Source organism: Homo sapiens, chromosome 16 (assembly GCF_000001405.40).
Source record: "Homo sapiens chromosome 16, GRCh38.p14 Primary Assembly".
Lineage (NCBI taxonomy): Eukaryota > Metazoa > Chordata > Mammalia > Primates > Hominidae > Homo > Homo sapiens.
This window is the reverse complement of record NC_000016.10, coordinates 49,670,917-49,683,961: the sequence shown is the minus strand read 5'-3', so window position 1 is coordinate 49,683,961 and position 13,045 is coordinate 49,670,917. Positions and strand designations below refer to the sequence as shown.

At 52.0% G+C, this 13,045-nt stretch overlaps 1 protein-coding gene across 13 annotated transcripts in view, besides 1 other annotated feature; it reads left to right on the top strand.

The window, feature by feature from the left end:
* Positions 1-13,045, top strand: part of ZNF423 (zinc finger protein 423) — a 371,756-nt gene that overhangs the window by 175,318 nt on the left and 183,393 nt on the right. The window lies entirely within an intron of this gene.
* Positions 2,721-3,641: an enhancer, noted in NCBI's record as "H3K27ac hESC enhancer chr16:49714232-49715152 (GRCh37/hg19 assembly coordinates)". NCBI's record gives its function as "activates a minimal SCP1, AML or CMV promoter by ChIP-STARR-seq in primed H9 embryonic stem cells {active_cell/tissue: H9 hESC(primed)}" and the evidence as "EXISTENCE:reporter gene assay evidence [ECO:0000049][PMID:30033119]".

Below are 13,045 nucleotides of genomic sequence, written 5' to 3'. Positions count from 1 at the left end.
GTAGCTGGGACTACAGGTGCACGCCACTAAGCCTGGCTAATTTTTAAATTTTTAGTAGAGATGTGGTTTTGCCATGTTGCCCAGGCTGGTTCCTGGGCTCAAGCGATCTGCCTGCCTCAGCCTCCCAAAGTGCTGGGATTACAGGCGCACACCATCATGCCTGGCTAAGTTTTAAATTTTTTGTAGAGACAGAGTCTCACAGTGTTGGCCAGGCTGTCTTGTAGCTGCTTTTAATGCCCTCTCGAGGAGCTGGTGCTAGGTGTGGGTCAAGTGTTGAGCATCGGACCAGGCATATTGGAATCACCCAGGGGGCCCCTCTTCCTCCCGGTTTCTTTTTGGACAGTAGCCCCTAAGGGAACTATTCTCAATGTACCTTGTGGCATAGAGGAAAGCACTTCTTTAATTTGGAGTCAGGAGAACTGAATTCTAGCCCTGGGTTACCACTAAGCGGCTCTGAGTGAACTTGGTCCTTTGTCCTCTGGGTGTCAAGTTCTCTGTCTAGAGATGAGGGTTGGTCTCCTCCACCGCCCACATCCTGAAATTTGCGATTCCAAAGAAGGAATACACTTATATTAAGTATAAGAATGTATTTTCAATATTAAGATGAGAATATATTTGTATTTAGTTATTTGTAGCTCTTTCTCCAGTAGTGATTTTACACTTCCAGGGTGCAATTTGCTGGTCAGTGTCTGTCTCCTGCAGGAGACAATGGGCTCCTTGAGGGGCTGCCTTGTCCTTGGTCACTGTTGAATGCCCCACTGATCCACACGGGAGAGCTGAGTATTTGTTGAGTGAATAGTCAGATAGCAAAGTTGGAGGCAGACGCCAGGCACCCCTCTGCCACCTGTTCATAAGATTATTACTGGGGAGAAATACAGGGAGATGGCCAGGGCGGGTCCCCACTCCTCTGGGCACTGCAGCTCTGCAGCCTAGAGAAGGGCCCCTTCTTTATTGGCACAGGCGGAAAAGCGGCTCCCTCAGCCCTGAGGCTCCCTTGCATGACACGGGTGCCCGGTGGGGTTGCGGCTCTGCGCTGGTTGTGGTAGGGGCGTCTCCTAGATACCCACTCCGTCGAAGTCCTGACACCCACTCAGAGCCGCCAATACACAGTGCAGATGTAAGAATTGCCATCATGACAAAATAATTGCTGTTTATTGAGTTCTTTGGACATCGTTCCCATTTTACAGATGAGGAAACTGAGGCTCAGAGAGGCTAGGGAATTTGCCCAAGGCCACACAGTCAGGGAGTAGCAGGGATGGTGTTTGAACCTGGGCAGTCCTCATGACTGACCTCTGCTTCTTCCTTCGGCTCAGCATCCCCACCAACCTCTCCTCTCTTCCCATCTTTCATGTCCTCCTGTCATACTCGGGGCGGCATCCCATCTGTCAGAGGTTCTGTTCAGGCCAGATGCAAGGCCTCTCCTGGGATCCTAGACCAGGACAGTTGCTGCAGAGGGAGGTGAAGGGAATTCTCAGGCTGTGTCCCTGCTCCAGACCCTGGCATTGCAAGTGTGGACCGGGAGGATCTGGCATCCCTTGGCTCTCCCTTGGGGCCGGGCCTTCTGCACCCACCCTCCTTTCCTGAGCAGGAGGGGTGGGATGTGCTCGGCCAGCCCTGGCACTCACAGCAAGCTCTAGCATGGTCATTCACTCTCTTGCACTTTCTTTCTTGAGGTCCAGGGAGACGGTTGGAGAATGGGGGGAAAATGGGGTTGGGGGAAAATGGGGTTGAGAGAAAAAGGGGCAGGAGGAAGGCTGAAGACAGGAGCAGGCAGAAAGGCAGGACAGACCCTCTGGGAGAGCAGAGAGGAAACTGGCCGAGTGCTAGCAAAGACATGGGTAGGGTGAGAGCTGGCTTCCGAAGGGGAAGGGGAGGAGGAACAGGAGACTGGGGGGTAATTAGAGGACAGAAATGGAGGGAATGGAGGAAGGATGAGGGGAGGCAGAGAGCAAAAGGGGAGATAGACATGGGGGCTGTGAGGGGTGGGAGCTTGTTAGGTACAGAAAGAATTCTGATATTTGAAAATCATAATGTTGGGCATGGTGGTGCGTGCCTGTAGTCCCAGCTACTTGGGAGGCTGATAGGGGAGGATCTCTTGGGCCTGGGAGGTGGAGGCTGCAGTGAACCATGATTGCATCGCTGCACTCCAGCTTGGGTAACAGAGCAAGTCCCTGTCTTAAAAAGAAAAAGAAAAAGAAAATCATAATATGAAAGGCCAGGAAGCCAGCATTCAGATCCCTGCAGCCTCCAGGAACCCATGGGCACCTGGGGGAGTGGCCGAGGCTGTGGGGGTGGGCACGCCTGTGGGCTGCCCTTGCTGGCAGGCCAGGCCTGGGAGCCATCCCTTTGAAGTCCCTGATATCGTGGTGAAACGATCCGGCCTGAGGTCTCATTTAGTCTCTACTTTGCTGCACACACCCTGTCATTTAATCTCCCAGTCCATCCTTCCAGCACCAAGGTTTATACATCTGCCCCATTTGCTTTATAAAGCCTGTCGCTGATGTGAACTTGGCAGCGTGAGTACATGAGAGTTTTTCTCCCCTCTCTGTATCCCCAAAAAGCACTCAGTTACCAAAGTTCTCCTGCTGACGGGGAAGAAAGCTGCCAAAAGAGAGCCCATGTTTCATTTTGTTATTTAGACATGGGAGCTGTGTAGTCTGGATGCTGTTGGATTTTATTTTCCCCAAACTAGAGCAGCTGCAGTCATGGCTTAGGATAAAAGATACCTTGGTGTTCAGTTGGTTTTCCCCAAATCCACCCTTCACTTCTCGCTTCCTTTCCTATTGGAGTTTGTACTGAGTCCGCCACATAGTGCTTTCTGCTTTGTTCACCAGAAGTGGGAATCCCTGACTGTCGAGTTTGGGCGAGCCTGTTGGTCTCCTACTTGGAAAGGTCTGCTGCTCCAACTCTAAGGTGTGCAGAGCTGAGGGGCCCTGTTTGGACACCGACATTTCTTAGAAAATTTGCCCTTGGCTGGGCATGGTGGCTCATACCTGTGATTCTAGCACTTTGGGAGCCTAAGTTGGTGTCACAGGATCCTTGGGGTGTTGCTTCACCAGCCAGAAACCTCTGTGGCCAGCAGTGCCTTCTGCCTGACTATATTGCTCATGCCTGCTGGGCTCGTTCTGCACCCTTGACCTGGCAGGCTGTGCTCGGCTCATGCTACCAGCCTGGATCCCATACCTGCCAAGGGTGATCCAGGTGCAGAGCCGTGAGGCAAGTGAGCATGAAGTCCGGCCACTTCACACAGCCAGGCATGCTGGCTGCTGTGGTGGGGCGGGCAGCTCCATGTGCTGGTTCCATGTGAGGCTGTGGCTGGACCAGGTGTACTGTAAGTGGCTTCCACTGGGAGTACTGGGGAATGCAGTGGTGTCCGGAAGCTTGGAGATGCCAGGAACCACAGAACCCCAAGGAAGGTGTCACAGCCCTGGCTTGGGGAGCCTCTAGGTCTGGGCTCACCGAAGGGCTGCAGCTCTTCTGTCCTTCTCATTGCCTGCAACATGGTAAGCAGGGAGTGTTTTTCCGTGCTGTTTGTGTCATAGCTCTTTCCGTCCTGCCATTCAGCACGTACCAAGTTCTTGTCCCATGTCCAGGAAGAATGAGGTATGCAGACAACTGGAGAGTGAGCAAGGCAGAGAGGAGCTTCAATGAGTGACAGAACACCTCTCAGACCTCAAGTGGGCCACTCCTTCCCATGGGCAGGTCGCCCAACAAGTGCCCAGCTCTCAGCTGAGAGGACACCTGCAGTGGGTAGCTCCTTTCTGCAGGCAGGTCCAGCTCTCAGTGGAGAGGAGACTGCAGTGGGTAGCTCCTTGCCTCAGGCAGGTTGTCCCCATGAGTGTCTAGTTCTCAGCTGAGAGGAGACCGCAGTGGGTAGATCCTTTCCACAGACAGGTTGTACTAACTTGTGTCCAGCTCTCAGCTCAGAGGAGACCCACAGTGGGTAGCTCTTTTCCACAGGTAGGTTGTCCTGAAGAGTCAGGAGACCCGAAGTGGGTAGCTCCTTCCTGCAGCTGGTAGTTCCAACATCTCTGTGAGTCTGGCTGAGTCTGGTGTAATGGGCTTCAGAAGGGAGGAAGTGCGTACTGATTGATCCTTGGGTGGTCCCAGAAACAGCACCATAAGTTCTCACTCTGGGCTGGGACTCCACCTGGAACTGACAGCCCAGACCCCAGGTTTCAGGCCATTTCTGGCTAGAACGTGGGGCTTCACTGGGGACCCGCCCCTTTCTGCTCAGGAGCCTGTCTGCTTCCTGCCACCATCAATCATATCATCCACAGCACCCAGACTGTTTGTGCCGAGGGGCACCTGCAGGCCCACGCTGAGCCACCCTTAGCTCCCTCTTGGTGTCCCTCCCATGCTCATCTGCACCAAAAGTCTGGAGGGGGCTGAGGTGGCAGGGGGCTGGCATGTCAGCACTGCCCTGAGTGCATGCACATCTGGCCGGGTCATGACAGTGTCTGGGCTTGGCCTCAACTTTGCTCCAAAATCAGAGAGGGTGCTGGGAGCAGGGAGAAGCCAGGCAGCAGGAGCAGGCACTTCCGAGCCTGTGAGGACAGGAGAGGGGGGCCTCCCAGGCTCCCAAGAGCTAGGTGGCTGCAGCTGTGCTGGGGAGGGTGGGGATCCCACCCTGCCAACTTGGAAGGGGGCAGAGATCCCACCTGTTTCCGGCTCCCGCCAGCTCCACGGAGGGCGCAGCCCTGGCCATGCCTCCCCAACTGCAGCTGGCATCTTTGCAGCGGTCGCTCCAGACTGGGTGCTGCTGCCATTAGTGGGAGGATTTCTTGATCCCAGGGGTTCAAGACCAACCTGGGCAACATAGTGAGACCCTGTGTATACTGAACAAAAACAATTTTTCAGGCATGGTGGCACACACCTGTAGTCCGAGCTATTCGAGAAGCTGAGATGGGAGGATCCCTTGAGCCCGGGAGTGTGCTTGCGAGTCACTGTGGGCTCCTGACCTGTGTACCACTGGGTTGACTGAGGCCCAGAGAGCCTGATAGGCTCAGGGCAGTGAGGGCTGGTGTTGTGAGCCAGTGCTCCAAGGTATCTCTGAGCATTTGTATGGATTGAGAATTGATTCCTGTATCTCATGTCAGATCCTCTTCATGATTTGTATTCATTCACTTAATAAATAGTTGAGATTGGTTTCCCCAAACTGTGTGCTGTGGCACCCCAGGGCACAACAGCTAACCTACAGGACCTCTGTGAGATCTTTGAAAATTTCAAGTGAAAGACAGCCATACCCAACATCTGTCAGTGCAAATTATGAGCTGGAGGTTGTTCCCAGTGCAGGGGTGAGGAGAGGGAGGAAAGACACCCATCAGGCACCTGGCACAGGGAGGACAGCATGGGAGGCCAGTGCCTCACACATGGTAGGTGGCAATCAATACTTTGCCCTGCTTAATTTTTTTATTCGATTCCAGTTCCCTGACATCTTGCCCAGTCACTTGTTTACTGGTTTATTGTTGCTTCCCCCACTGGACTGTCAACTCCACGAGGACAGGGACTTTGTGATATTCTCTGCTGTTTTGCCATCACCCAAAACCATGCCTGATACAGAGCTCGAACGCCCCACTTTCCTAGTTCATGGCACCTTAGTGTCGGTAACTTTTTTATGGTGCCCCTTAAGCAAAACAAAACAAAACAAAACAAAACAAAACAAAAACCTCACAGTTGTCTAAACAACTTAAATATTTATGTCCTAACAGCATAGTAGCTTTAAAAAAAAAATAAAACACATACATTCAAATAAAATGTAATATTTTATTTTATTTTTGAGATGGAGTCTTGCTCTGTCACCCGGGCTGGAGTGCAGTGGCGCGATCTTGGCTCACTGCAACCTTCACCTCCCAAGCTCAAGCAATTATCCTGCCTCAGAGTCCCGAGTAGCTGGGATTACAGGCGCCCATCACCACGCCCAGCTAATTTTTGTCTTTTTAGTAGAGACAGGGTTTCACCATGTTGGCTGGGCTGGCTTTGAACTCCTGACCTCAAATGATCTACCCGCCTCGGCCTCCCAAAGTGTTGGGATTACAAGTGTGAGCCACTGCGCCTGGCCAAAAAATGTCATATTTTCATTTCATTCTTAACATAATTACTAATGGAATGTATGAAATTCAGATTCTTATTTAGCAGCTCCAGGTGGACCTGAAATTCTGCATTTCTAATCATTCTCTCTCTCTCTCTCTCTTTTTTTTTTTTTTTTGAGACAGGGTCTTGCTCTTTTATCCAGGCCGGAGGGCAGTGGTGTGATCATGGCTCACTGCAGCCTTTACTTCCTGGGCTGAAGCAATCCTCCCACGTCAGCCTCCCTAGTAGCTACTTTTAAAAAAATTTTATAGAGACAGGGTCTCACTGCATTGCCCATGCTGGTCTTGAAGTTCTGGGCTCAAGCAATCCTCCTGCCTCCCAAAGTGCTGAGATTATAGGCATGTGCTACTGCACCTGGCAACAAAATTCTTTTCTTTTCTTTCCTTTCCTTTCCTTTTCTTTTCTCTTCTCTTCTTTCTCTTTTCTTTTTCTTTCTTTTCCTTCCTTCCTTCCCTTCCATTCTCTCTCTCCTCTCCTCTCCCCTCCCCTCCCCTCCTACCCTCCCCTTCCCTCCCCTCCCCTCCTCCCCTCCCCTCCCCTCCCCTCCCTTCCCCTCCTTTCTCTTCTCTTCTCTTCTCTTCTCTTCTCTTCTCTTCTCTTCTCTTCTCTTCTCTTCTCTTATCTTCTCTTCTCTTCTCTTTTCTTGTTTCTATGTTGGAGTCTCGCTCTGTTGCCCACACTGGAGTTCAGTGGCGTGATGATGACTCACTGCAGCCTTCGCCTCCCGGGTTCCAGCGATTCTCCTGCCTCAGCCTTCTGGGTAGCTGGGACTACAGACACGCACCACCACGCCAGGGTAATTTCTGTATTTTTAGTAGAGATGGGGTTTCACCATGTTGGCCAGGGTGATCTTGAGCTCCTGACCTCAGGTGATCCGCCCACCTCGGCCTCCCAAAGTGCTAGGATTACTGGCATGAGCCACCAGGCCTGGCCTAAATTCTACATTTCTAAAAAGCTCTCATGTGATGCTGAGTTGCTGGTCCAGGGCCACATTTTGAGTGGCTGACTCCCATGGCCGCTAAGTCCACCATCCCCACTCCTTTCTAAACCCTCCTTCTCACGTCCTTTGCTCTCTGTAGACAGCTTTGCCAGCCCCGTGGCATGAGTTAGAAGGTCAGTTGTTCAACTGATGTGGTTTGAGGTGCCCAGCACAGCTGTCCCCATCTCCATGAACAGAAATCCTTTCCATGCCCATCTAGGGTGTCAAGTGGTTGACATTTGTGTATGAGTGTCAGGTCCTCATAAAGAACAGTTGTTTGTGGCTGCAGAAGTGGCCACCTGCAAGGTGGTCTCGGTGGACCTGGAGCATACTGGACATGCTTGCTAGGGCAGGATTGACCTACTCCAGGCTGTTTTTGTTCCCTAGAGTCACCTGCCTGTGTGAAGGCCATGTGTCTGATTTAGTCCCAGAATGTCAGGCAGCCTTGTGGACCTCCAGGCACCTTCCCTTCTGGGACTAAAGTCCCATTAAAGGTGACTGATTTCTGTCTCCTAGCCTGGATGACTGCAGCCCTCCCTTGCCAGTTCCTGGTTGTTATGGATGTCCAGATCTGGGAATGTGCATTTTCCAGCCACATGCCCGTGTGCGTGTGTGTGTATCTCAGTTAGTGCCTCGTGGAGCTCTGCAGCACAGCTGCAAGGGCAGAGCTGCGCCTCCAGTCTCTGGAAAATCCAATCTGCGGTGATGCATAATTGTACTTGTGGGCTGTTCCCGTTTGCCCACTGTATCATTGATCAGTGGATTCATTTATTTATTCATTCTCTCCCTCATGCAGCAAGTGTTTATTTACTAACCATGGCTGATGTTCTGAGCTGGAAGGCCCAAAAAGCTGGAGAAGACTTCCTGGAGAAGGGGGCACTGTGGGGTGTGTGCATGCCTGTGTGAGTGTGTCCATGCATATGTATGCAGGTGCGTGTGTGCGTGGATGTTGCACACCTCTGCACAGTGTTGTGTGTGGAGCACTCATGGACGTGTTCAGAACACACACATGTGCATGCACATATGGCTTGCATGTGCACACAGGCTCGTGTGTAGGTGCACACATATGCTTTTACATTTGTGTACAGGTGTGTATACAGGTAGGGTCTTATGAGCAAAGTCTCGGTGCCAGTAACATCAACTTTGGAACCCCTGTCCTGGCCTGCATCGATCCCAGGCTGGAGCAGAGGAGCTGCTGTTTGGTAGAACTGATTTTGTAGCTTGGCTCCATGTGCGTGTGAGCACTTGGGTGTGTTTTAATTAACTAGAACATTTGCCTGGAAATGAGCAGCAGCAGCAGCCGGCGCACAGGCAGCTGGAGGGGGGTGGGGTGGTGCAGCGTGGTTGTGGGGGCCGTGGCAGCCCGGAGTCTGAGTTTTAACGTGCCCAATTCCAGCTGAGGGCACCGCTGAGGGAGGGGTGGGGCAGTTCACCCCCAGTGCTGGTTATCACCCCAGCAGGGAGGGGATTCTGGGAGTGGCTGAATGCTGTAATTCCCAAGCCTCCTAGTCAAAGATGGCCAGGTTAATGGTTCCAGCACCTGGGTGGGTACGTGCCTCTCCTGCATGATCCAGGGTGGGCTTCAGACCCATGAGCCATGCAGCACTGACCAACTGCAAAGGTCACCAACTACAGAGCTTATACCTGGCATATAGTGGGTCCTCTGTACATGAGTGAGTCAACAGCTAGAGGAAGCTGAGGCTCAGAGAGGTTTAGTGATGTATCCAGGGTCACACAGCATGTTAGTAGACCAGCTATAAATGTTGACTTTGTTTCCAGTGTTATCTTTCCAACCCTGGTCATGTTGCATGAAGAAATAGCATCATCTCACAGCAGATGAATTCCACACACCACAGGCCTCCCGCTCTGCCCTGGGCGGCTGTTCAGTTGCCTGCTTGCCATCCTGTCTACCTGGGTGGTGGGAAGGATGGACTTCCCAGGACATCTTGGTGTGCTGGAGTTTTCTCTCACCAAGGGCAAGATGGAGGAAGCAGGGGTGGTCATGATTGGAGGGGAAGGGCTGGGACTCAGTCCCTTTCTAAGACAAACCGGCCACTGGGAGCTCACAAACTGTAGTCACCGAAGAAAATCTCACTCAGACCGCAGAGTCCCCTGGTGCCCTCTTCCCTGCCTTCCCATCTGTTCCAAGGCCTCAGAGCATCCCTGTGGCTGCAGCCCCGTTCCGCCCCTCTGCACAGCACTGCGTGGCTGCCTCTCGGGCTTTGGTCTGTGCCTTCACTTTGTCCCACCCCACCTTGAGGACCCCTGCCTGATTATTTTCCCTGAAGTACAGCTTTGTTCACATCTCTGTTCCGCCTGGTGGTGCAGGGGGTGGACTCTGGGCCACACTGCCTGGGGTCAGATGTGGGCTCTGGCCCTGACTGGTTTTGTGTTTCCAGTAGAGTGACATCACGTCTCAGAGCCACCCTGTCCTCCCTTGTAAAGTGGGATGACGCACCGTGTACACATCGGCTGCAGCACACGTATGCACATGGCCAGGATTACCGACTGGACTGCTCCCCAGCCGAGAACACACTGCGTGCTCTGCACACACACACACCACAAATCCCTTAGGCACTCGGTGACACTTGCTTTAGGAGAGGTTACTGGAACATCAGCTGTTGGACTGCACAGCAAAATTTTGTTTGCGTTTCACACTCATTCCTATCTCAGATCCTGTGCACAAATTTTCTTTTTGCTCAGCACACAGCTAAATTCATATAGGTTTAAAAAAGTACCCATGCTAGAACTCTTGTGTTATCTACATTTACCCGTTTTCCACCTGCCTATTTTTCACTCAGAATAATTTTTGTTCTCAGAGTGCCAGCTACCTTTGCTTGCCTTTGCTCTGGCTATTTTCTCTACCTGCTCCATGGCCTTTTATATTTTTTTCTATAAATTAAGACCCAGCAGCAGGCCTTCATGTCTCAGGGTGTCCCTGATCACCCTGCCAGAACTGAGCTCTCTGGGCTTCCTAAGGACCCTTTTAAGGTCCCACCATGGACTGTCTTACCTTGTGCACTTTCCTCAGCCTCCTTTAGAGCTCATGCTCCTGAAGGCAGGGCCCTGGGTTTCTTCCTGTGGGGCACGTGGAGTGCGTGATGCTTGGTGAATCCTCATCAGGGTAGACTGAATGGATGACCAGATGGCGGTTTGTAGCCCCCCATGGGCAGAAGGGTTTGTGTGCATGTGCAAGTGTGTGCACATGCATACATACGTGTTTGCACACCTTGCATAAGCATGTGCATGTGACACACGTGTGCCCATGTGTTTGTGCACATGTGTGTTTGTACCATCAGCTTGATGCTAATTGGGTTTCTGAGGAAAGATGCCTGCTTTAATTTTTAATTAGAAACCAGGGCAGTGTGGGAGCTGCAGCTGGAGGTTTTCCTCAATGCTGGAGTTCTCCTTAACAAGCACCCGCAGTCCAGGCCAGCCTCGGTTAGCGCTGGACACCACCGCTCACGCTGGTGGGAGTGTCTTAATGCCTATGAAATGATCATGTAATTATTTGGTAATAGAATGCCAGGATTTTGCCTATGCAACAATCTTTCCCAGTGGGTGAAAAAATTGCCAATCAAGAGAAGTTGGAGATGACCAGGGGAGTCGTGGGGCTCCAATGTCATTTTGATGGGATGGGGTCACCACTCCTCCCAAAGGCATCTGGGAGTCCTGCTGGAAGCCTCAGCCCCTGTCAAATGGGATTTACCTGCAGCATGTTTCTCCTGGCCTGGGGCTGTGTTTAGCATATTTGTTGTGGGTAAAATGATCTGTGCAGACTGTGTCAGGTAGGGAGTAATTACCTGTGTACCACGGCGGGGTGGTGAGCCTCACCTGCTGGTGGGAGACCGCCTTGGGCTCCTGGGCTCCAGCAAGGCTCTGGGCAGGTGTGGGAATGCCACTCAGGGTTTGTGTAACTCCTAGGTGAGTGCCTCCTGGTGGAGGCTGGCCCATAGATCACACCGCGTGGTGGGGCAGGCTGTGGACACTCGGTACATTTACAGATGCTCCACTCTTTTTTCGGAGGCTTTTATTTTATTTTATTTTATTGTACTTATTTTTAAATTTTTTTGAGATGGAGTTTCACTCTGTCGCCCAGACTGGAGTGTAATGACGCGATCTCGGCTCAGTGCAACCTCCGTTGCCTGGGGTTTCAAGTGTTTCTCCTGCCTCAGCCTCGCGAGTAGCTGGGATTACAGGCATGTGCCACCATGCCTGGCTAATTTTTGTATTTTTAGTAGAGACAGGTTTCGCCATGTTGGCCAGGCTGGTCTTGAACTCCTGACCTCAGGTGATCCATCTGCCTCGGCCTCCCAAAGTGCTGGGATTACAGGCGTGAACCACCATGCCCAGCCTCAGGAGGCTTTTAAACTGCAGCTCCGTACTTTGGTCAACTATGGGACACCCTGGGGATGGAGAGTGCAGACCCTCCAGGCCAGATGGCCATGGTTTCCGCCCTGCTGCCCCACAGACTATGGGGAAATTATTTCTTAACTTCTTTGTGCCTCACTTTCCTCTCTGGGAAGCAAGAGTAGCAATAGTACCTACCCCACAGGGTCACCAGGAAGATTAAAGAGGCAGTGGAGGTCCAGAATCCCCTATTCACAATTCTGAATTCCAGAAAGCCAGAAACCTGAATTTTTTTTTTCTGTAATGTATTTGGCAGCCAAGTTTGACCTGAGCTGATGTGAAGCTATTTATGGTCTTTATTTCGTTCACATTAGTGAATACCGATATGTTTTGCTGCAGAAGTATCAGTGTGCCTGACTGCTGCTGGAGTGTTCCCAAATTTGCAGCAAGTGCACTGTCTCACCTTTCTAGAATCTGAAAAAGTCTGAATTTTGGACCACATCTGACGGTTTGGGTTTGGGGTAGGGAGTTGTGGACAGGCAAATAAAAGATGTGGGCTGAGCGCGGTGGCTCACGCCTGTAGTCCTAGCACTTTGGGAGGCTGAGGCAGGCAGATTGCCTGATCTCAGGAGTTTGAGACCAGCCTGGGCAACATGGTGAAACCCCATCTCTACTAAAAATACACAGATTAGCCTAGCCTGGTGGTGTCTGCCTGTAATCCCAGCTACTCAGGAGGCTAAGGCATGAGAATCTCTTGAGCCCAGGAGGTGGAGGTTGCTAATGAGCCGAGATCGCACCAGCACTCTCCAGCCTGGGCGACAGAGTGAGACTCCGCCTCAAAAAAAAATAATAAATAAAAAATAAAATAAAACGTGTGGGGCACCTCTCCCGGAATAATTGCTCAGCAGACATTAGGTGGAGCCATCACCTGACCCATCACACAGAGCAGCACTGCCGGATTTCTTCCTATTCCTTTCTTCCTCCCACTCTTGGCCATGCAGGGCGGGGTGGGTGGTGGTGGGAGGGCTCGTTTGCTTGGAAGTCATGTGCATGCACACATGCACACCCATGCTATTCCTCTTGGCTGGAGGTGGGACACCCTGTAGCGGGTGGACGCGTGCTTGGGACCTCATGGAACTATCAAGGCCGGGCTTGGTCCTAGGGTGGGCTACAGGACCCAGGGCCTATGGTTTGTCTGTTTTGGACGTGGCTGCTGCCAGGCCTTGAGCTCCCTGCAAGAACAAGATCAGAGGGGACCCCCTTCACACCTCGTCCCTTACCCTCACTGCCTCTCCCAGGGGGCAGTCATCCTTGTGTTGGAGGGCACTGCCAAGTGCATGCTGACACCATTTCTTCTGTGCCCCCTGGGTGACCAGGCACAGCTAATGAGGGAAGCTGGGCCTTCCTAGTCCCGGGAATCCTGTTGGCGCTGAAACACCTGAAGGGGCTGTGGAGTGTGGAACTGCAGCTGCATGTGAAGGAAGGCAATTAGGAGGGTTGCAGGTGGACCTCCCTTCTTTTATGTATTTACTTTTACTCCCCAATAAGACATCTCCTTCGAGAGGTTTGTCCCCTGGCGTTGCTGGCCTGACTCCCTAAGGGAAGTAGCCTCCGATCTAGGCT